Raw genomic sequence first — 25,213 nt, forward strand, 5'->3', positions numbered from 1 at the left:
AAGGTATATGGAGAACAATGGTGTTTAATTTTCCACCTGTTCAAATTTCAAACCATGAATACAAGTGTTCAAAAATTATAATTTTTTTAACTGAACTTCTTTTAATTTTGAACATTCATTTGGGTAGGCTTACGTCTAAGTGCCTGAAGGGTAAGAGTTTTTGGCAGGAGCATAGCTAATGCAGTGCATAGGCTGGGAACATTTTATTCTCCTTCCTCTTCTTTTTGTAGTCCCACCTGGTATCTGGTCATCTGGCAACACAGGTGACTGCTGGATTTCATCATCCTGACTGTAAGGCTTTCTCAGGTCTGCTTGACTTTTCTCTTAACTATTTTCATGTCCCTCTCAGGGGCACAGGGATCATTCTATTACTCCCATGCCTTGGTGGCTACCAGAAGCTCTGCTAAGATATCTTGTTCCCTCTCCTGCACCAAACTGGGCCTTGGGAACTTTAATAATTCCCCCTCTCTGGCGTCCTCCCAAAAGTAAGGCATACCTCTTCTGTTCTCACTTCCTCAAACTTCCTATCTGAAGGTTCTTTCGGGCATAAAAAGCCCCATGGGACTTGGCCCAAAGGTCAGGTGGCCGCTTCTCAGAGATCCGCTGTTTTCCTCTTTCCTTTGATTTTCCCTCAGAATCATAAGTTCAGAGCCCTGATTTGTCAAAATATTGACTGGATTTGTTTTTTAGCGATTGAGTCCCCAGCATGTGAGATTTAAAACTGAAATGCCAGGCTGGGTACAGTGCCTTGCTGCTGTGATCCCAGCCCTTTGGGAAGCTGGGTTGGGAGAATCACTTGAGCCCAGGAGTTCGAGACCAACCTGGGCAACCTAGCGAAACCCCATCTCTACAAAAAATACAAAAATTAGCCAGGCATGGTGGCATGCGCCTGTAGTCCCAGCTACTCAGGAGGCTGAAGTGGGAAGGATTACTTGAGGCCATAAGGTCAAGGCTGCAGCGAGCTGTGATTGCGCCACTGCACTCCAGCTTGGGTGATATAAAATAAAACTGGAACGTCAATTTAGTAATTTACAAGGAGCAACAAAACTGCTAGAGGGATCCTATCCTTATACTCTCTAGCCAACATATTCTTTTCTTGTTTCCAAGCTATTTGGCAAGCCAAATGATAACCAAGATATTTGCAAGTGTAAAATAAGATGTCATTTATATCTCTGAAGCAAAGTTAAACAGACGTAACTCATTTACTTGCAGAGATAAACCTGCCTCCAGAGTTCTGCCACTGTAGAGCTCTTGAATGGATACTGTCAAAGTTTATGGCTGATTGTCATATTTTCTTCTGTTTCCAGGGTCAACTGACCTTCTGTCTCTTTCTCTAATTAGTCAGTACCCTCAATCTAGTCATATTCAAGCCTTTACTTGGAAATCATTATGTTTCTTTAAAGCAGTGCTTTTTATTCTTTTTTTGGTCATTGATCCCCTTGAGAATCTGAAAGAAAAATGCATATGTTGACATTCATAAAATTTTGAGTTCATGGATCTTCTGGAATAGGATCCAAAGTTAAGAATTTACGTTTTGAGATAATGTAGATTTTTACTCAAACTGACCCATTATAACAGGGGCTCTTAATTTAGGATTCTTAGATGGTCTTCATGGTTGGTCTTCAAAGTCTAGAGTTTTCTTAGATGACACTGAAAGTGTTCAAATTGTGTTCCTCAGTGCATATTTCCGAGACCATTTTTCAAAATGATGTATAACCTATAATCAGTTAAAAACTAAGCCATGGCTTGCTTATAAAAAGGTCTTCTGTTTCTAAGTATAAGATGGCATTTAAATTCTGCCTATCTTTTTTTAGCAGCAGAGTGCTTTTTCAAACAAAATCTTAATCAGAGTTCTATATATAAAATTTATTAAGAGTGGGGTTGCTGTGGTTGAAGTGGTTGTGAGGATTTCAGAGCCCTGGACCTGCCCTCCCAATAGCCTCACTGGGAAGCTCTGTGGAACCCTGTAGAACGAACTGACCAAATGTGGATGCTTACCTATGCCTTTTTTCCCTTAAAGGGAATCCTCCTAAGGAAAGGCAGATTATTAAGCAATATGATCAGGTTTTGTTCTTTTAATTCTTCTATTAATAATTTCCTTTTTAAGTTTTTAGTGCTTCTAGAAAGAAAAAAGACATTACGCAGCTTTGTATGGAATTTATTATTATTATTATATATTTATTTATTTATTTATTTATTTATTTATTTTTTGAGACCGAGTCTTGCTCTGTCGCCCAGGCTGGAGTGCAGTGGCGTGAACTCAGCTCACTGCAAGCTCTGCCTCCTGGGTTCACGTCATTCTCCTGCCTCAGCCTCCTGAGTAGCTGGGACTACAGGCGCCCGCCACCACGCCCGGCTAATTTTTTTTTTTGTATTTTTAGTAGAGACGGGTTTCACCATATTAGCCAGGATGGTCTCGATCTCCTGACCTTGTGATCCACCCACCGCGGCCTCCCAAAGTGCTAGGATTACAGGCGTGAGCCACCGCGCCTGGACTTATTTTTATTTTTTATTTATTTATTTATTTTTTGAGACAGGGTCTCACTTTGTCATCCAGGCTATAGTGCAGTGGCAGAATCTCGGCTTACTGTAGCCTCAATCTCTTGGGTTTAAGCCATCTTCCTGCCTCAACCCCCCAAGTAGCTGGGATTACAGGTGCTTGCCACCACGCCCAGCTAATTTTTGTACTTTTTGTAGGGATGGGGTTTTGTCCTGTTGCCCAGGCTGGTCTTGAACTTCTAAGTTCAAGTGATCTTGAACTTAAGTGATCTGCCCTTCTCGGCCTTTCAAAGTGCTAGGATTACAGAAGTGAGCCACTGTGCCTGGCCTGGATTTTTTTAAATGTAAATAATTTTTATTTTTCCAATGATTATTATAAAAAATGTTTAACAATATATAGAACGTGAAAGCTTCCTTCAAATCTCATCCCAGAGATTCTTCCAGAGGATTATTTGAAAATTTCAAGGAAATGTTTGGTTGGTTCTTTTTGTAATGTGAAGAACTGTCAACCTGATCTATGCTTTATGGGTTCCCTGTTAGCTTTTCATCTAATGATTTTAGCTGAGATTAGTTTTAATCATTGCCTAAATCATTAATTCACTAAAGGTTACAAAATGGTGATGTTTTGCCTTGAACTCCTGGGTCCAAGCGATCCCCTTGCCTCAGCTTCCTCAGTAGCTGGGACTGCAGACATGCACCACCATGCCCAGCTTATTTTTTATTTTTATTTTTATTAGAGACGAGGTCTCACTATGTTGTCCAGACTGGTCTTAAACTTCTGGGCTCAAGTGATCCTCCTGCTTCGGCCTCCCTAAGTGCTGGGATTACAGGCATGAACCACGGCACCTGGCCTTTCTGTTTTTTTAGCTGTAATTTTTCTGTGAATAATTTTCTCTCATCAACTAGCCGTGTTTTCCCTGTTATGCTAAGAACAGAGGGCTTACCCCCTCCTAGGCTCTGGGTTTGTGGATGCTCCCTAACTCCCGTGTCCACTTTAATAGGAACCCATTGAATCAGAGCTCCACTCTGGTCTGCATTGTTTTAGCACCAGCTGGCATTTCCATTCTGTTGTTTTTATGTACTTTCAGTATCCCCCAGGGCAGTATATAGCCACACGGACCTGTCTGGTCTATTCAGATCTTCTCATGAGGTGCGAATTACTGTTTTTAGGGCTCTTACTGCAAAGCTGCATTGGTTTTGAGTGGTTCATTCCTAATGGTCTGTAATTTTTATAATAAGCTCTGTAATTTTTAGTGTGCAGTTTTACGGAACATGACTTTTTTCTTCCCTTGAATAAACCAATGAAAATGACATTTTTAGGAGTGCCAGTTTTAAGAGAAAATGCATTATGAGAACATTAATAATCCCAGCTCAAACTTATGGTTACACTTTTTAAAAAACTTATTTGATGTTTAGATTGCTGTTTTTTTTATGTTGTGAATTTTGGTGGTTCCGAACATTAACAAAAATATCTATTTGCTTTAGACAAATACACGAGGTTTAGAAAAGCAAAACCTGTATTATTACCAACAATTTGATTACTGAAAATAAGATTTCTTTGCAGTTCTTTGTCTGTAGGATATGTCCTGCTAAGGATGCACAGTCATCCTGTATTTTAGAATCACTTGAAATAATTCCTCACTGTACTGAAGCCACCAATTCAATATCTAGTTCAATTCAATTTTTTTTTTCCATTTTGCTTTCAATTGATAGGTTCCCTCCTTTCCCTTAGAGGTAACTGTTACATTGAGTTTGCCTTCTCCTTCCATTGTTTTTGATATATATATATATATATATATATATATTTTTTTTTTTTTTTTTTTTTTTTTTGAGATGGACTTTTGCCTGTTGGCCAAGCATTGGAGTGCAGTGGCGTGATCTCAGCTCACTGCATCCTCTGCCTCCCAGGTTTAAGCAGTTCTCCACCTCAGCCTCCCGAGTAGCTAGGATTACAGGCGTCCACCGCCACGCCCTGCTAATTTTTTTTGTATTTTAGTAGAGACGGGGCTTTGCCATCTCGGCCAGGCTGATCTTGAACTCCTGACCTCGTGATCCATCTGCCTCGGCCTCCCAAAGTGCTGAGATTACAGGCGTGAGCCACTGCGCCTGGCCTGTTGTATATATTTTTAATATAAGAAAATATATATTCATTTTGCCTCTCTTTGTTAGATAAATGTTTTCATACGTGCAAACTATTTTACACTCTGCTTTTTTTTACATAACAGATTCAGAGCATCACTCCACAGCAGTTATAGAAATATTCCTCATTAATTATTACAGCCACATAGTGCCACATTGATAGATATACCTTAGCTTATTCAGCAATCCCTTATTGGTAGTTGTTATTTATGATCTTTGGCTATTACAAATATTAATAGTGCTGTAGTGAATAGCTTAGTGTCTGTGTGTTTTGTATATTTTTGCTAGTGTGTTTTAGGGTTACATTCCTAGAGTAGGATTGCTCGGTCAAAGGGTGAGTGCATGTGTACTTTTGTTGGATGTTGCCAAATATCACTCTGCTTCTTGTTCCCACCAACAATGTATGAGAGTGCCTGTTTCCATATAGCATTATGTTATAATATGTTTTAGGGCTATTTATATTTCTTTTTCTGTGAACTGTCTGTTCCTACCACTTGCCCTTTTTTTTTTTTTTCCTTTTTTGAGACGAAGTCTTACTCTGTCACCAGGCTGGAGTGCAGTGGCACGATCTCAGCTCACTGCAACCTCTGCCTCCCAGGTTCAAGTGACTCTCCTGCCTCAGCCTCCCGAGTAGCTGGGACTACAGGCATGCACCACCATGCCCAGCTAATGTTTGTATTTTTAGTAGAGTCAGGTTTTCACCATGTTGACGAGGGAGGTCTCCATCTCTTGACCTCGTGATCTGCCTGCCTCGGCCTCCCAAAGTACTGGGATTACAGGCATGAGCAGCCACATCTGGCCTTTCTTGCCCATTTTCTAAAGAGTTGTTAGTCTTTGTTTTCTTTAATTTTAGAAGTTGTGTATTAACCCTTTGTGATGTAAGTTGCAGTTTTTTTCCGCTTTATCATTTGTTTTTGTACTTACGTTTTTTTTTCATTTAAAAGTTGCTTTTTTAAAATAGATTATTTCAGTTATTTCTGGATTTTGAATTATACTTAGGAAATGTTCCCTCTTTCTTAGCTTATAGCAGGTTATAGAATTCACACATGTTTTCATGTGCATATATGTGTTCTTCTCTTTTTTTTGAGACCAAGTCTCACTCTGTCACCCAGGCTGGAGTGCAGTGGCACAATCTCAGCTCATTGCAACCTCCGCCTCCCAGGTTCAAGTGATTGTCCTACCTCACCCCCCTGAGTAGCTGGGATTACAGGTGCCTGCCACCATGCCCAGCTAATTTTTGTGTTTTTAGTAGAGACAGGGTCTCACCATGTTGGCCAGGGTGGTCTCAAACTCCTGACCTCAGGTGATCCACCCACTTCGGCCTCCCAAAGTGTTGGGATTACAGGCGTGACCCACCACACCCGGCCTTATTTTTTACATTTAAATCTCTAATCCATTTAGAATTTATTTTGGTATATGATGTGAGGAACAGATCCAATTTTTATCTGGTTCCATGTGATTATACAGTAATTCTTATTAAATCACTCACTAAAAAGCCTTTGCTCACACTGATTTGAGATGCTGTATTTTTTTAATTGTAGTACTGAAATCTGTGCTAGATCACTTTCCTTAACCTTATTGAGAAGTTTTAAGATAAGCAAATTATTATTTTTTTTCCTGAAAGTAAGCAAATTAAAAGTGAGTCTGACTTTATTAAATTATAACATATGTTTTAAGGAGTGCCTGGTGTTTTCCTAATTTCACATCCAAGCACAATTGAATTATTGGAGCAAGGAAACTAAAATTGCAGATTCTTACATTAAGCACTAATAAAGTGTTATTTTCTTACAGTGCCACAAGGTTGCAGTAGTGAGAGAAGATAAATTGGAAGGTAAGTGTTTTAGTGACTTAGCAAGTTTTTCCTCTTATGGCATCAGTGTAGGTGCAATAAAAAATCTGCCTCTAACATCTGCGTATAATATATTTAGCTATTTAACTGAATAGCCCAATATTCATTTTATGAGTAGTTTTTAAAGCATGTTAAAATATGATACTACATCTGCCTGACTTCCCATTTTTAGGGCCAATAGTTGCTGACATTTATAAAGCACTTTTATCACAGAATTTCAAAACTCGTGACACATGCAGAAACTGTTATGAATACCATATGAGCTACCTCATCAACTGTGAAAAGACAGTGGCAGTTTTTTTAGGAAACAAGTTAAAGAATGCTTTTCTGGAAGTCAGAAAGACTTCTAAATAACTTCTAAATTAAATTTGTCTAACTGTTTCAAGACTATCAGTGCTACCGTTGGATTGTTTAAAAACCCAATTCAAAGGAATTTAATAACAGTCAGGGTCCTCATGATCTTGGACCTATATCTCAAGATAAAACCTGTACTGTTGTACTTTGTATATAAAGGCTCCTTGGCCTGCAGGCCCCATTTCACAGATTGGGACTGAGGAGGGTGGAGGGCAGCCACGCCAGGGACACAAAAAATATGTGTATTTTAAAAAGAAAGAGTTCCTGTCCATGGGGGTAGGGTGGGGGTATTTTACCAAATTTAACTCTGAAGTATTCAGAGTGGTGGGTTTGTCCACTTTTTACTTTCTGAATTCCCACAGTGTTAAGCAAAGCAAAATTTCTTTATTCTGTAGATATGTAATGATGATCTACTATGTGCCAAGCTCTATACTAGGCACTGGGGACATGGAACAAGTTAGCTGCAATCCCTTCCTTCGCGGAACCTAACATTTATTCTTGTGGTGTTCTTTTGTGTTTCTCTTCCGTAGACTTATCTAGTTAGTAGTGTTTTTATTACAGAGTTGCTTTCTCTAAACTAAAATTGAAATATATAAATGAATATTCTCAGATAGAAATTACTTAGTACTCTTTAATTATATGCTATAGTGTAAGGCTCTTTTCTGACCAAAAGAAAAAGATCATCGTAGTCATCATCAATCATTAATATTTACTAAGTGTCCACTGGATGAGTGATACCCTCTCAGGTGCTGTCCTTAGAAATGACTCACCACCACCTACCTTGTCATAATGTCCCCATTGCAGACAGAAGAGTTGATGTTTCACTGTATATGTGGCTGTGTGGCCTTTAGAGTTTTTTGGACCACCACAGATTACAAATGCTTTAATGCAGAAGGGTTTCTTGTTAAAGTCCCCACATGCTATGAAGTTTGTGTATTAACTGACTGCTTTTCCTGTTGACTTGTAGCAGTGAAGTCCAAGCTAGCTGTGACTGCCAGCATCCATGTGTACAGCATCCAGAAAGCCATGCTAAAGGACAGTGGGCCTCTGTTCAATACTGACTATGACATCCTTAAAAGCAACTTGCAGAACTGCAGCAAGTAAGCGTCTTAATGTTCCTTGTGGGCTTCTTTACGAATTGATTTTGTAAGATGTTTACACAGTGGCTGCCTCTTAAGAGTGAATGCCAAGTCTAGTAAAACCCCATTTATCTTGCAGTAAGAAACATGCCTGGTTTTATTAGTACATCATAAGGTGAAAAATAGCAGCCACAACCCATATTGAAAACCCCAGTGGACTCTCCATAAATCTATTTCTCATGTATTTATCCTGTCACTGCCACCAGAAATGTTTGTCGTGCCCTCTCTAACTCCCTTACCCAGTCTCTGCTTGTCTAAATCCTACCCATCCTTCAAGAACCAGTTCAAACGTTGTCCTTAAAAAAACAGTTCCTAATTTGATATCCCTCTACTTTTCATCCAAAAGCAACTTTTTCTTGAGCTTCCATAGCCAGGATCAGGTTTTTTTTTAAATCTTTTGTATCCTTAACAGCACAAGGAGGTAACGGACTATAATGCGTGTACATTTTGGAAATTGGTGGTCACAGGCTTGATTTGTGGCTTTGCTGCTTAGTAGCCCAGTGGCATTGGACAAATTACTTAAACTCTTTGAGCTTTGGTTTCTTTGCCTTTAAATTCAATGTAATAATGTCTCCTTTGTGGGGTTGTATTGATAATTCAGATCAGTTCCCCAGACATACATTGAGCACCTACTACTTTGACAGGTACTGAGCAAAATCATTTGAATTCATTCAGCAAATAACTCATGAGTACCTATGACATACCATACAGTATAGAGTGAATGTGCCCGCGTACCTTTTCATGTAACTGATGGGAGACAGGCAGTTATGGTACAGTGTAAGAGTACTGTAATAGGAGGAATATTGGGGGAAGATGTTGGCAGGGGCACTTATCTCCCACTTTTGGATGGATAGAGTGAGGGGACAAGACTGTTATGACTTATGACACAGAAGGTTATGATATCTCAGTTGAGGCCTGAAGGCCCAGTAGAAATAGCCAGGCAAAGGAAAAATGAGAGACTAAGGACAGAGCTAAGAGAGAAAACATGCTTGTGCAGAACCATGATCGTTTTCTATGGGTGCAACTTAGAGTGAAAGGTAGGAAATAATTAGATAGAAGACTAAAGAGGCCAAGCAGGAATTACATTATGCTTTGACTACTAGGATAAAAATTTAGACTCTATTCTGAGAGCGCTGGGGAGCCACTGAAAATATTTAAGCAGATGGAGTGAAATTATCAAAATTGCATTTTAGAAAGATTGCTCTGGTTGCAGTATTGAAGATAAATCAGAAGAGAATAATCTGGAGGCAAGGCCATCAGGGAGGAGAAATGTGGCAGTAATCCAGGTGGATATGACAGTTTTCTAATGTGAAGTTGTGCTGTTGGGGATGGAGAAGTATGAAGGTTAATGAGTCATGACCATCAAAAAACCTCAGTTTGGCCGGGCACAGTGGCTCACGCCTGTAATCCCAGCACTTTGGGAGGCCGAGGCAGGTGGATCACGAGGTCAGGAGATTGAGACCATCCTGGCTAACACGGTGAAACCCCGTCTCTACTAAAAATACAAAAAATTAGCTGGGCACGGTGGCAGGCACCTATAGTCCCAGCTGCTCAGGAGGCTGAAGCAGGAGAATGGCGTGAACACGGAAGGCAGAGCTTGCAGCGAGCAGAGATCGCTCCACTGCACTCCAGCCTGGGCGACAGAGCAAGACTCCAGCTCAAAAAAAAAAAACCTCGATGTATGGTAGTGGTTGGGGACAAGGTGTGTGGGGGTAGGGGATGGTGGAAGACAGCCTTTCTTGGTATTGAAAGGTTGATACCCATGCTTCTGGCTTGGGCAGCTGGGTACTAAGAAGGGGAATATAACAGGAGGAGCAGGCTTTAGGAGAGATAGAAAAATGACAAATTGGGTTTTAGAGATGTTGAGTTTGAGAAGCTTGTGAGAAATCCAAGTGAGGATGTCCATCGCAAAAGATAGGTGAATCTAGAGCTAAGGAGAGAAATCTGGGGTAAAGATAGAGATTTTGAAATCAGAATAGTAAATGGGCCATAGCAGTAGATAGAGTTATCAGAGAGAATGTATAGAATGAAAGAAGGGCAGAAAGTAAAACTCTAGGCCAAAGTACTAGTTGTCTGACCTTGGGCAAATTATTTAACCTCTCAGTGCCTCCCTGTTCTTGTCAGTAAAGCTGACAGTAGTACCAGCCAGATAGGGTTGTAGAGGATTAAATGGACTATTATATGTTAAGCACTTAGAATAGCACTTGGCACATAGTAAGCACTATTTAATGATAGCTGCTTTTCAAGGGAAGAATAGAAAAAGAGGGGCCCAAGGGGAGCCACCAGAGATAAGAGTATATGGGGTTTCAGCCCCTAAGGAAAGAGGTTCAAGTAGGAGGAACCAGTCAACAATGTCAAACAATGCTGAGAAGCCAAGTAAGTTAGGAAGTGAAAATTGTCCATGACATTTAGTGATAGCCTTGGTAAGAGCATTTTCAGTGGAGTGACCAGATTCTGGTGAGCTAAGTAAATGGGGACAGAGGAAGTGAGACAGCAAATATGGACAGCTCTTTCCAGGAGATTAGACTGCAAAGCAGAAAAGAGGGTGGTAGCTAAGGAGGGATTGAGACGGGAAGGATATATACATTTCTTAAGTTGAGAATGACTTGAACTTGGGTTGTTAGAAAGGTGCTGTAGGAAGAAAAGGTTGAAAATCCTGGGGAGGTGGTATGACTGATAAAGATGGGTCCTCAAGGAGAGAAAGATATAGAATTGCCATAGTTTCTATAAGTTCCATGAGAATAGGGATCGTGTCTAAATTGTTAACTATATACCCAAAATAGTGCCTGGCACACTAATAAGTAGTTACTGAGTGAATTAATGATAGACATTAGTTCTTTTTTTTTCTTTAGCTCAAAACCTTGAGTATAATAAGCATACAAATATTTATTAAATAAATATATGGCCAAAGAGGAATAATTTACAAGTCTCTTATCTTTTAGGGAAGGATTTCAAGAAAATATTAACACCCTGATAAGTTTATTTGAAATATATTACTAGATTTCAAAAAATTTTAAAATCTAGTTGGGTATTCCAGGCTCTAAAAATCAGTTCCCTTGTTATATCTAGCAAGTAAGCAAACAAGAATAAAAGTGACGCAAAAGTTCAAAATGAAATCTGCCAGGGCCCACTAAAATAAACATGGCAAGTAGAAATGTGGTAATAGGAAGCACTTCAGTGAAACTTTACCTAAATACTTAAAGTATCCTCAGTAGAAAAGTGAATTTATCTCCAACAAATGAGTTTGTATTTAGTCCTGAGAATTATGGGCCAACTGAGATCTCACTTATGATTTCGTGTGTTTTAAGAAGTGCCGTGACATGAAGAGAGTTGAAATTTTAGGATTGAGCAGAGATCTCTTGTCATCAGACATACTCCTAGCCTAACTCGGTCTCTTCCTCATTGCCAATTCCTGGTCCTGACCCTATGGTGTAGAATTCAGACCAGAGGAGAAAGAGTTGTTTCAAGGCCAACTTCAGACGTTGACAGTGAAATAAAACATTACTCTTTTCCTTGTATATGGAAGCACTGCAAGGTCAGAGAGGAAGAGCAGTGGGTGAAAGCAAATGATTTCCGTCTGTTCTTAACTCTGATGCATAAAAGATGTGTGTAAATACAGAGTTTTCTGATGAAGACCATAATAAATCAGTGGAAGATTTTTGGAGCTTTTGACTCTAGCTTTGGGGCTGCCCAGTCTAAAGTTACTTCTGAGATGAAATGATGTATCAGGGATTTTTTTTTTTCATTAGGCCAGGTATTCTAGCAGTTAATCTTGAAGTTGTGCCTGGTTGATCTTTTAAGATAATTGCCATCACCACATAGTTTAGAAATCTCCCACCCCAAGTTGAAGGTGATACACTAAAGAAGGGAGAGAAGCCAGAAGCCTCACTTTCATTCACTTAGTCATTCTTTCAACATGTCGTTTCCAGCACTTTTCTATGTGCCAGGTCTTGAGCTGGGTGCCTGAAATAAAAAAGATAAATAAGACTTCAAGGAGGTCTTACATATGCTCAATAAGCAAGACTGGGAAAAATAAAATATTTTTCTTTGTTAGAAAAAGCTGGGGAACTTTGCTTTAAGTACAATCCTTTGAGAAGGCTAAATCAATTACCCATTCACAATGTGGAATGTTACATTATGGATTTGTGTGAAACGGCACTTCTATAATGATTAGAGAGAGATGTATGTTCCCTTTAATATGCCACACAAGCTGTTCCACCAATTTTCTTCTCTTGGCCTTGGGCATACTTACTTGTCCGGTGCTGTTAGTATTATTAGAAATTATTAACAAATGGCTGTAAAGGACTATAGGTTATAGGAGCCAGTGGCTCTGCTTCCAGCTTCTCCCATTTTTTTTTGTTTTTCATTTTGAGACAGAGTATTGCTGTGTCGCCTAGGCTGGAGCGCAGTAGTGTGATCTTGGCTCACTGCAACCTCTGCCTCCTGGGTTCAAGCAATTCTCTTGCCTCAGCCTCCTGAGTAGCTGGGACTACAGGCGCGTGCCACCACGCCCAGCTAATTTTTGTATTTTCAGTAGAGACGGGGTTTCACCATGTTGGCCAGGCTGGTCTTGAACTCCTGACCTCATGATCCACCTGCCTTGGCCTCCCAAAGTGCTGGGATTACAGGCGTGAGCCACTGCACCTGGCCTCTTCTTTGTTTTAAAGCATGATTTATTTATTTATTTTGAGACAGCATCTCACTCTGTTCCTAGGCTGGAGTTGAGTGATGAGCTCATGGCTCACTGCAGCCTTGACCTCCTGGATTCAGGTGATCCTCCTACCTCAGCCTCCTGAGTAATCAGGGCTATAGGCATGCGCCACTACACCCAACTAATTTTTGTATTTTTTGTAGAGACAAGGTTTCACCATGTTGCCCAGGCCCATCTTAAATTCCTAGGCTTAAGCGATCCGCCCGCCTCAGGTTCCCAAACCGCTGGGATTACAAGCGTGAGCCAATGCGCCCAACCCTACAGCATGATTTACTCTGGCCAAGAGAGTTGCCAGGAAATTTGTTAATATTTAAAGCTTAGTTTTGATTCAGTCAATATTGCAAATCTAGCCCTATCAGAGGAAGGTCTTTAAAAACAAAGGCTATTTCATTTCCCAAGGATAATGAAATTACTGCATCTTTTATTATTGTTGGTTGCATTCCTACTCTTTTGAATTAGAATACTTTTATCAAAAACAAGAATATTCAATTAGTGGTAGAAGGCACCTAATTCCAATCCTATCTATTACTAACTAGATGTATAACCTAGTAAAAGTGACTCACTTCTCTCTAATATTTGTTTCTTTATGTAATAGAGAGTTTCATACATTTTTCTAAAGTCGATTCTAAACAATATTAGAGTTAAGTATTGTGTGGAAGAAGCAAGAGTTTGAAAATAAAGTTTTATACTGACATTAGTTTTTTTTTTCTTTTTTTGTTGAACCACCCAAGAATGCATATGCTGACATTAACTTAATGTAACATTTCTGTCCCCAGATTTAGTGCTATACAATGTGCAGCTGCCGTCCCTAGAGCTCCTGCTGAATCCTCTTCGTCTTCCAAAAAGTTTGAGCAGTCACATCTTCACATGTCAAGTGAGACACAAGCCAACAATGAGCTGACCACCAATGGTCATGGCCCACCTGCATCCAAGCAGGTTTCCCAGCAGCCCAAAGGAATTATGGGAATGTTTGCCTCCAAAGCTGCTGCTAAAACCCAAGAAACCAACAAGGAAACGAAAACAGAGGCTAAAGAAGTAACAAATGTAAGTCTTCTTTGAAGATACCCCTTCATTGCAGCTCAGAGTGGGTAACTAGAAAAGCATTAATGGTTGCAGTGGTAGTAGTTTATTTATATAAGATTCTGATATTCAGTTCTGATTTTTCTACTTTAGTTTGAACCCTTTAATACTTGATATTGTTATCTGAAAGAGTTCTTTTGCTTTTGATAATGATTCTCACCAAACCTTGGATTTCCTTTGCAAAATGGTAATGCCTACCTTGTGCACATTACAAGATTGTTGTGAAACCCAGATGAAAACATGTGAAAACACCTCGAGAATTGTTGACATTCAAAAAAATGTTTATTTGCAATATGTCTTTCTGAGGAACATCTTATATTCTGGGCTTTGCAACATATACCTTCCTTCCTAGTGTATTTCCCATTCTTATACTTTATGCAGGTTTTTTTGTTTTGTTTTTGCCTTATTTGCTTCTCTTAGATTTTTATTGTTCAGTCATCTGAACTAACTCAAGGGCATTGACTTAAGAAAAGTATCATTAAGATACTATTTTAAAAATCCAGAAAAGCATAATTATTGTTGTTACTATTATTATTATCACTGTCATTTTCCAGTGTCAAGTGTATTTAATTCAGATCACTGTCATTTTCAAGCGTCTGTCTTGGGAAAGAAGAAGGATGGAGGAAAACACTAACGTTTATTGAATTTCAACTGTGTGCCAGTGTCTTTGTTTAAATCCTCTTATCAGTTCTGTGAGGGAGATATTAACTATTTCCCTTTCGCATATGGTAAAACTGAAACCTAGACTTAAGTAATTTGCCTGGAGCCCATATTGCTACTAAATGGTGGGAACCAGGAATTCAGATCTACTTCTGATGATTAAAAATGTAATGTTTTAGGTTTTCCCGCTTTGTGTACATACTGCCTCTGATCTTTTTTAATTCTGTCAAATTAAATAGTTTTTAAATGTGCTCAAGAAAAGTTTAGCTATATCCATGGATAATTAATTTTATAAGATATATAAGAAACTAAGCTTTAGAGATTAACACCAGTTACTGTCTGGTGTGGATTATTGTTCTAGATTTGTTCTTATATCTAACACCTACGCGTTTTGGCATGATTATATAGAGACTATACCATCGCAACAGTTTGCTATAGAAGAGTTTGTTTGAGACTGCTACTTCATGAACAGCCTAAATGCCAGCAAAAAATCATATGTGTTTTCTGTGCTTGTAGGCATCTGCAGCAGGCAACAAGGCACCAGGGAAAGGGAATATGATGAGCAACTTTTTTGGAAAAGCTGCTATGAGTAAGCATGTTCTTACCTCACTTTGACTAACGAATGAATGTTAATGTAATGACATATTATACCTGAAGTGAAAGCCACTTTGTCTAGTTTTTGCCAATCCAAGAGACTACCTGCATTCTAACAAATTTCCAGTGTACTGCCCAATATATTGATGAAAGTAACTCAGCTAGAACTTTATGGGTGAGTTAGGCTCAGTTGAGATCTCTTTGAGAGCAGTTTATTATTCCTGGTTTAACTTCCTGCCTTGAAAAGATAATGAACTATTTGCTTCATAGGGCCCTTGAAAATGGGTGATTAAAATAAAAGGGAGGCTGCCTGGCTACGCAGTATAGTGTTGAGGTTAATAACGTGGATGCTAGAGTCAGTTTGCCTGGTGTGACCTTTATTTCTTCTATCTCTCAAGGGTCCACAAAAGCAAATATTTTGCCTTTCTTCAGTTATTTTTTGCAGATTACTCACAGTAATGAATTAGACTTCCAGTGTGAATTAGAAGGGCCCAAGTAGTAATGGACATTTAAAAATCTTTTTTGAGAAAGCAAAAATCTTCTTTATTTTTAAAAAGATACTTAAGTAAGAATTCTTTCGTATGGAAAGAACCAGTAGTCACATATTTTCATACTTCTCATATCAAGTGTACATCCCCTGAGAGTATGTGGTAGAATACCAGGAAGAATGCAGGAGCCACAGGATAATTATGGCACACTTTCTTGGAGCATCAGTTTTACAAAGATTTTTCAAGGAGGCATTTTGTTACATGCCTATGCAAGCAAAATTAGTTAGAATTCTGCCTTTCCATGATGGCTAAATTGGTGGTCACGGGAGGGATTGAAGTGACTTTTTTTTTTTTTTCATATTCTGCTTATGTAAGGGTGACAGTTTTTGTGTTTGCTGTAAAAGCTATCAGAGAACGTTTTTGTGTTCTTGCAGCTCAGAATGGGTAACTAGAAAAGTGAATGGAAAATGTGATACTTAAAGGTTACTCGGAAGCATTATTGTATTACTGCAGGCACAGTTGGTGCACAGGGAATGCTTCCTACTTCTGTTAAAACAGGTCTCCAACCCACAGTCCACTGATGGGTAGCAGTCCGTGGCCTCTTGGGAACCGGGTGGCACAGGAGGTGAGCAGCAAATGAGCAAGCGTTATTATGCCTGAACTCCACCTCCTGTCAGATCAGTGGTGGCATTAGATTCTTATAGGATTGTGAACCCTATTGTGAACAGCACATGTGAGGGATCTAGATTGCGGGCTCCTTATGAGAATCTAATGCCTGATCTGAGGTGGAACGGTTTCATCCTGAAACCACCGCCCCCGACCCCCCACCGCCGCCCACCACCACCCCTGTCTATGGAAAAATTGTCTTCCATGAAACTGGTCCCTGGTGCCAAAAAGGTTGGGGACTGCTGTGTTAAAGCATCATGCTGTCACTGACCTGCCTGGCTGTTATGGTTTTTTTTAAAAAAATCAAACCATACAGAAGTATGCTTATTTAAATCATGTGTTTAGTTAGCAAATAGATTGAGCACCTGCTATGTGCATGGCATTGTTATGCAGTGGTGATACAATAGAGGAAAAAGACAAACAAGGTCCCTGCCCTCAAGTCCTTATATTCTACTGAGAGAGATGGACAAATAAATATGGAAAAAAAGCCAGGCATGGTGGTACGTGCCTGTAATCCCAGCTACTCGGGAGACCGAGGCAGGAGATTTGCTTGAGCCCATGAATTCAAATCCAGCCAAAAATGTAGAAGACCTCATTTCTTTTTATTTATTTATTTATTTATTTTATTATTATTATTATACTTTAAGTTTTAGGGTACACGTGCACAATGTGCACGTTAGTTACATATGTATACATGTGCCATGCTGGTGTGCTGCACCCATTAACTCGTCATTTAGCACTAGGTATATCTCCTAAAGCTATCCCTCCCACCTCCCCCCACCCCACAACAGTCCCCAGAGTGTGATGTTCCCCTTCCTGTGTCCATGTGTTCTCATTGTTCAATTCCCACCTATGAGTGAGAATATGCGGTGTTTGGTTTTTTGTTCTTGCGATAGTTTACTGAGAATGATGATTTCCAATTTCATCCGTGTCCCTACAAAGGACATGAACTCATCATTTTTTATGGCTGCATAGTATTCCATGGTGTATATGTGCCACATTTTCTTAATCCAGTCTATCATTGTTGGACATTTGGCTTGGTTCCAAGTCTTTGCTATTGTGAATAGTGCCACAATAAACATACGTGTGCATGTAAGACCCCATTTCTTAAAAAAATAAAGGGAAAGGAAAGAAAGAAAACATTTGAATAGTGGATGATTGTAATTGCTAGGTAGGAGTAATAGGGTGTTATGATGGCATGTAACACGGTGAGGGGGAAAACCTGGATAAAATAAAATACTATTAAATATTAATCTAAAAATTGCTTACAAAGTTAATTTATTTGACATTTCTTCAAGGCTGAATGTTCAGAGTAAAATTATGACTTTTTTATTGTATTCGACACATGACAAGATCATTACAATGAAAATGAAGCTTGAGAATTGGATGAAGAGAGTTCACTGTGGGGACTTGAACCATTTAAAACTTAATACTGGACAGTAACAAGTGTTGGCAAGGATGTGGAGAAATTGAACCCTTGTGCTCTGCTGTAGGGAATGTAAAATGATGTGTACTCACTTTGGAAAATGATGTGGCAGTACTTCTAAAAGTTAAACATAGAGTTTACCCAGCAGTTCCTCTCCTAGATATCTACACAAGGGAATTAAAACTGTATGTCCACACAAAAACTTGTACAAGATGTTCATAGCAGCATTCTTCATAATAGCCAAAAATTGAAACAATCCAAAAGTCTGTCATCTGATGAATGGATAAACAAAGGTGGTATATCCAGACAATGAAATGTTATTCAGCTATAAAAAGTAATGAAGTACAGATGGATATGTGATATGACATGGATGAACCTTGAAATATTAAGTGAAAGAAGCCAGATAGAAAAGATCATATATTATTTCATTTATATGAAACGTCCAGAATAGGCAGGTCTATAGAGACAGAAAGTAGGGGCCGGGTGTGGTGGTTCACGCCTGTAATCCCAGCACTTTGGGAGGCCGAGGCGGGCGGATCACGAGGTCAGGAGATCGAGACCATCCTGGCTAACACGGTGAAACCCCATCTCTCCTAAAAAAATACAAAAAATTAGCTGGGCCTGTTGGTGGGCGCCTGTAGTCCCAGCTACTCAGGAGGCTGAGGCAGGAGAATGGCGTGAACCCAGGAGGCGGAGCTTGCAGTGAGCCGAGATCACGCCACCGCGCTCCAGCCTGGGCGACAGAGAAAGACTCTGTCTCAAAAAATATATAAATAAATAAATAAGTAAATAAAGGTTGTCAGGGGCTGGACTGGGGTTGAGGAGGAATGCTAATGGGTTCAGGGTTTCTTTCTGGGGTGATGAAAATGCTCTAAAATTGGACAGTGATGGTGGATATACAACTAAAACGCTGAATGTAAAGTGATGAATTTTATTGTATGTGAATTATATCTCAATTTTTAAAAGTAACGCTTTATATGTAATAAAATTCAGCATTGATGACAAAATTTAAAGGTCATAATTGGTTATCTTTATTTGCTTGAAAAGGTTTCGTGTTTTCTTGAGTATAAAAAGGAAATGCTTTTAATCAGCTAGAAGATAGGTGACTTGATCATTCAGGTAACAAAAAAAGTCATTAAATTTTCCTTAATAATTGCCTTACAATGTTGCATTAAACTACCTCTTTACCAGTTAATTGGCTATTGGTAGCTGCATATATGTTTAAGTTGGAGTTCTCAAAATTCTGTGAAACCAAGACAGAAGAAACTCTGGATGCTGAATCTAATGTTTGATCAGTGGCATTTTAATTCAGATCAGTTTTCTGTAATTGGTAAACTCAATGCAATAGCCTCTCTTTCCTTAATCCATAGGTAGGTAGGAAGTATTTGGAGGTTTTTTTCTCCTAATGATGCAATTTTTAAAACAATTGCTATTAAAACAATATAATTTATGTGATAGATTGCAAAATTTGCATAAATTTTAAAGCTACACATGTGACTCCAGTGAACTGTATTTTTTGGATTGGCTGTTGACCCCTAGACCCCTGGAGATGCATGTTTACTCTTCTATACAATTTGGGATATTTGAGAGGCACTGATACTTGAGAACAACAGTTGAAAATGCAAGAGTATGCCATCGTTGGGAAGGTGGATTCCACCATTCGCATTTTCCATTCAAGTCTTCAGGAAAAAGAAAAGTATAAATAGATTGCATTTTACACTTTGGTCCATCAACTACCCTTCAAATAATACACATTATTTATAAATTATTGTACTAAGCTATGCATAATAGCCCAGACTATGATACCAATTTTTTTCTACACTGTAGATGGTTTAAGCTATTATACAACATATAACCAAAACTACTTATTGAAGCACCTCCAGCTAATGACAGCTTTCTAATAGTATTTTGTGCCTTTACTTGTGAAAAGCTATCACTAAGTACAGCGTGAAGGCTAGATGACATGCTTCTATAGTTCCTCAGATGGCTAGGCCTGTTTGCATTTCTTAGTTCTCCCTGCTGCACTGTAGTCATTCTTCAGCTTGGTGTAGGGAAAGGGTTAAGGACTTTGAGGAGTTAAACTGACTTTGGTTCAAATCCCTACTCTTTTCTGTCAGTGTTACCTGGATAAATCATTTAACCAATACTGATCTCTTTTAATCCTTATGATAATCTTGTAAATATTATCTCAGGTTTAGAAAAGACTGACTTAGATAAAATAACTTGCCCAGAGTGAAGCGGGGTTTGAACCAAACTTCTTTGACTCCAAAATAGTCTTTAAATTTTATCATTAAGGTAGTAGTGAGATATTAAGGGTATCCAGGCATTAAAAGATAGAATATATAGAAAGCAAAGGTCTTGCTGCAAATCGTTGTCACCATTTGTAAACTGTGTATTGTTGGGAAACATCTTGTAATCCTTCTGATTCTTGATTTTCCTCATCTGAAAATGAGAAGGATGATGCCTCATAAAGTTGTATGTGTTTTTTCTAAGCCTTGCTTTTACTATCATTTAGCCTGGGGGCTGTGATACAATGAGGGATTAGCAGGAGGCAGAAATGAAAAGTTACAGTTAGAGTGGTAGTTGGAAAGGAGGAATGTTTCTGAATAGTCCATGAGCTCCTTTTTGCCCCTGCTCCTAACATATTACCTGGCACATGGTAGACTGTCAAAAGAATGATGTATTAATATTGCATGATGGGGTCATATGTCGTCTGCTATACTTTATTTATAGATAAATTTAAAGTCAATTTGGACTCAGAACAAGCAGTGAAAGAAGAAAAAATAGTGGAGCAGCCTACAGTGTCTGTCACGGAACCAAAGCTGGCAACTCCTGCAGGCCTGAAAAAATCCAGCAAAAAAGCAGAGCCTGTTAAGGTGCTGCAGAAGGAAAAAAAAAGGTAGGAAAATTTTGTTGCTTATTGGGGAAGAGTCTTTACTGGGGGTGAGAAGGTCTCTTTGGGCTTATTGACAGCAGGCAGTTTTCAGTTAAGTACTAAATCCTACTTAATGCCTAAGGGATACAACTATACAACCAAAATGGAAAGAGAAGCCCAGTAGCTTATCTAGTGGAGTAGGACCGTAGGATCAGCCAGTTTGGATGATTTAAGGACCAAAGTCGTGTTTTTGGCCGTATTGATCTAAATTGATTGTTGATTTTTGTTTTAAATTTGTGGACATGGCATAAGTGTGCCTAGTTGTGTGTGTGTGTGTGTGTGTGTGTGTGTGTGTGTTTCACTTCAAATTGCCAAATGAACAGTTACTGTTTCCAGTCAAATTTAAGAGAAAAACTTCTTTGTTTTCTTTTTATATCAATGAGTTTATTTTTCAAGTGGTAAAATGTAATTAGAAAAGAAAATAAAAAGCACATAAAGCTATTAAAACTAGATCCAGGAATTGGAGACACTACCTCATAGTTGGTAGAATTAGTCTGCTGAAAGAAATTCTAAAGGACACTGTCAACACTGATAGGCCTAGAAAGACGACTTTTGTGGCAAGTTTGGGACTACTCTCGTTGAAAACATCAACAAAATGGTGAAATTTTAGAGGGTTAAAGCTCTGTCCAGTGGGCCTCACCACCTAGGAACATATGACTTGTATGGATTAAAATGTCCACAACCATGGGTACGTCACTCACTGTTGATACTTATTGCCAGCAGTGCATTCAGTATTTCACTACTAAATGTGATGATAAATGTAGATTTTTAATAGATGCCGTTAACCAGATTGAGGAAGTTGTTTTTTGTTCCAAGTCTGCTAAGAGGTTTTATCATGAGTGGGTATTGATTTTGGACAGATGCTTTTTTGAATTGATTGGATGCTCAGATGGTGTTTTTATTAATGTGGTGAATTACACTGATTTTAAAATGTTAGGCCAACCTTGTGTTCTTGGGATAAACTCCACTTGGTTATGATGTATTATCCTTTTTTATATATTGCTGGATTAGATTTGTTAATATTACACTAAGCATTTGTTGCCTGTGTTTATGAGGTCTACAGGTCAGTTACATTCTTTTCTGGTAATGTCTTTATCAAGTTGCTGTGTCAAAATTGTGCTAACTTCATAAGATTACTCATGCGCTGCATAACGATGTTTGGGTCAACAATGGGCTGCATATATGACAGTGGTCTCGTAAGATTATAATGGAGCTGAAAAATTCCCATTGCCTAGTGACATCATAGCTGTCATGACATGGTAGCGCAACACATTCCTCACGTGTTTGTGATGATGCTGGTATAAATATACCTACTGTGCTGCCAGTCATGTGAAAGTATATCATATATATTAATAGTTATATATACATAATACTTGATAATAAAAATGACTATGCTACTATAATTACTGCACTATACTTTTTATCATTTTAGAGGGTAGTCTTTCTACTTATAAAAAAAGTTGACTGTAAAATAGCCTCAGGCAGCCCTTAGGAGATATTTCAAAAGAAGGCATTGTTATCATAAGAGATGACAGCTTCATGTGTGTTACTGCCCCTGAAGAAGACCTTCCAGTGGGACAAAATGTGGAGGTGGAAGACAATGATCATTGATGATCCTGACCCTGTGTAGGCCGAGGCTAATGTGTGTTTGGGTCTTAGCTTTCAACAAAAAAAGTTTAAAAAGTAAATAAAAAATTTTTAAAATAGAAAAAGGCCTATAGAATAGGGATATAAAGAAGAAAATATTTTTGTACAGCTGTACAATTTTTTGTGTTTTAAGCTGTGTTATTACAAAAGAGCCAAAAAGTTATAAAATTGAAAATACAGTTAAAGTAAGCTGTTTATTATTGAAGAAAGAAAAACATTTTAAAATAAATTTAGTGTTGCCTGAGTATCCAGTGTTGATAAAGTCTACAGTAGTGTACAGTAACATCCTAGGGCCTTCACATTTCACTCACCGCTCACTCACTGACTCAGCCAGAGCAACTTTCAGTACTGAAAGCCCCATTCGTGGTAAGTGCCCTATACATGTGTACCATTTTTAATCTTTTTTATACAGTATTTTTACTGTATCTTTTCTCTTTTTAGATGTTTAAATACACAAATACCGTTGTGTTACAGTTGCCTACAGTATTGAGTACAGTAACAATGATGTACAGGTTTGTAGCCTAGGAGCATAGACTATACCATCTAGGTTTGTGTGAGTATACTCTGTGATGTTCACACAGTGAAGTCACCTAACAATGCATTTCTCAAAATATGTCCCTGTCATTAAGTGATCCATGACCGCAGTTGGGAGAAGTTTCCTCTGTTTTCTGAAGGAGTTTATATATACGTGTATATTTTTCAAATGTTTAATAAAATTTACCAGTGAATCCAGGGCTGGATTTTATTTGTGGGAAAGGTTTTTATTGTGAATTTGATTTAACTAGAGCTGTTCAAATTCTCTAGTTCTTCTTGGATCAGTTTTGACTGAGTTGTGTTTTTAAAACTCAGTCAAAATTTGATCTAAATTGTTGAGTTTATTGGCATAAACCCGTTCATTATATAACTTTATTCTTCGAGTTTGTAGAACCTGTACTCGATACAGATTTCTTTACTGTTTCATTCCTGATTGATAATTTATATTTTTCTGTTTTCAAAATGGGTTTTATAAAAGGCTTATTAATAAAATTAATCTCCCAAAAATAACAACTTTGGCTTTGTTAATTTTCTCTTATTTTTTATCTCACTGATTTCTGCTCTTATCTTTATTGTTTCCTTTTACTTTGGGTTTAATTGTTCTTTTTCTAGTTCAAGGTAGAAAGGAAAGTTGGTATTTAAAGTTATATAGGACATAAGGTACTTGATGGCAAAGATTATGTCTTGTATATATTTGTTTCTCTAACATTCAGTAGGCCTTTGATAAATTACTTGTTGGTTGCATGAGGAGTGTGATGGAGTATCCATTCATCCAGAGGAGCTAAATAATGTCATGATGGAGTCTAGGATTTTTTTTATTATTATTATGTCATTAGAATCACCTTAAAAGGATATCTCTGCCTTTGCTCATATTGTTCTTTCTCTTTAAAATATGTTTCCCCTTTCTACATGATGAACTTCTACTTAGCTTTTAAGTTTTCCAAATATGAATTATATTCCATAACATTTTATTTGTCCAGTTAAATCTACCACATTGCCTTATAGCCAGTGGTGTTTGCCAGAGCTTCTTGAAAACAGTATTTTCTTCTGTATTGTTGCATTCTCAATGGCTAGCAAAGAGCCTTGTATGTATGTAGTAGCTGCTTATTTAATGCTTGTTGGATAATTGAAAGGCCAATCAGGGAAGTAAGAAGGAATTTGGAAAGATTCTTGATAACCTGGTTGTAGCTTCCAGCAGTCTCTAGAGAACTCTAGAACTTTTTTATTCAAGTCACCTCATGAAGTGACTTAGTTGTGGTCAGTTAGCAGAGTATCCTTAACAAGAGTCCTTCTTGGACTATTTGGCCGTCCTTTTCTACCCTCTGGAATTAAGACCACGAGTTATAAAGCAAAACCCATAAGAGCATGTGAATACTTACATTTTTGTTCTGTGTAACACGCTTAATTTATTTCTGGATGGCAACAGGGGGAAGCGAGTAGCATTATCTGATGATGAGACAAAGGAAACTGAAAACATGAGGAAAAAGAGGAGAAGAATCAAACTTCCTGAATCTGATAGCAGTGAAGATGAAGGTGGGCATTACCATTCATTTTGGGTTAGGGGGATCAATTTTACTTTCAATGTTCAAGGAGCTAAAAAAGTAATGGATTAAGGATCACAATGAGAGTAGTAATTCTAGCATTAAGAGACACCATAGCACCTCTTTCTGTTTGAAATCTGCATTAGCCTTTTGACTAGAACCATGATCTTTTGGAAATTTGTCAAAATAACACAGAAGGAAAGAGGATAAGAATTATTATTATACATATTATCTAAGACTTTTTCTTTTCTTTTCTTTTTTTTTTTTACTTTTAAGGGGAGGATATTCCTTTAGCTACCTTCATGTGAATCTTTTAAAAATTGTGACGTTCTAGGCAGCCAGGGTATTACTGGTGGTGGTCCACACAGGTAAAACTAGGGTTAACTGGAACAACCTACAGTGTCATTGTTAGAAGGGAATGACACTGTGGACCCTTCTAGTTTTAGGCTGTGGGCAATGTTGTAAGATAAGCAAACCTCATAAGGGCAAGAGTTTTACCGGGAACATTAATATGCTTTTAAAAAAATATCAAGTATTTTGAAGAGCCAAGATCTTGCCCCAAATTGTATAAAGTATATAGAAAAAGAAGGAGGCTAAAAAGAAAGTTAAATGGGTTGAACTGATATGCTGGACGACTCTACCTTGAAAAGCCCACTTTGAGACACAGTGGTGAAAAGTTTGAACTGCTCTAATCAATTGTCCATGAATTCATGGCATAATGGGTATAAAACATTTTAAGTAATGAGGGGAAATCTAGTCCAAAGGATTTCAGCATCACATAAAGATACAGAGACAAACACGAACAGATACTAAAAGGGAGAGTAAAGAAGAATAATGAATGCAAAAAAGGAACCTACTGAGCTATCAAAGGACAAACTTGTAAGATTCTGAAACTTGTAAGATTCTGCTTTTTCCAGAAACTACTCTAAGAGGAATTGAAAATGGTAAGAG

The 25,213-nt window shown here is 38.3% G+C and overlaps 1 protein-coding gene across 7 annotated transcripts in view; it reads left to right on the forward strand.

Moving 5' to 3' along the window:
• Positions 1 to 25,213, forward strand: part of POLD3 (DNA polymerase delta 3, accessory subunit) — a 76,760-nt gene that overhangs the window by 12,488 nt on the left and 39,059 nt on the right. For 6 of the 7 annotated variants that reach the window (NR_046410.2, NR_046409.2, XM_005273716.1 and 3 more), the window contains 6 exons: positions 6,430 to 6,469; positions 7,809 to 7,941; positions 13,468 to 13,735; positions 14,948 to 15,020; positions 20,339 to 20,504; positions 24,148 to 24,254. Coding sequence is in view for 5 of the 7 variants with exons in the window: in XM_005273716.1 (XP_005273773.1) it covers positions 6,430 to 6,469; positions 7,809 to 7,941; positions 13,468 to 13,735; positions 14,948 to 15,020; positions 20,339 to 20,504; positions 24,148 to 24,254 (787 nt within the window). In the remaining 2 variants the exon portion in view is untranslated. Of the gene's footprint in view, positions 1 to 6,429; positions 6,470 to 7,808; positions 7,942 to 13,467; positions 13,736 to 14,947; positions 15,021 to 20,338; positions 20,505 to 24,145; positions 24,255 to 25,213 lie in introns of those variants that run through there. The other variant, XM_047426295.1, reaches the window with a different exon arrangement.

The sequence above is a fragment of the Homo sapiens genome, chromosome 11 (genome assembly GCF_000001405.40).
Source record: "Homo sapiens chromosome 11, GRCh38.p14 Primary Assembly".
Lineage (NCBI taxonomy): Eukaryota > Metazoa > Chordata > Mammalia > Primates > Hominidae > Homo > Homo sapiens.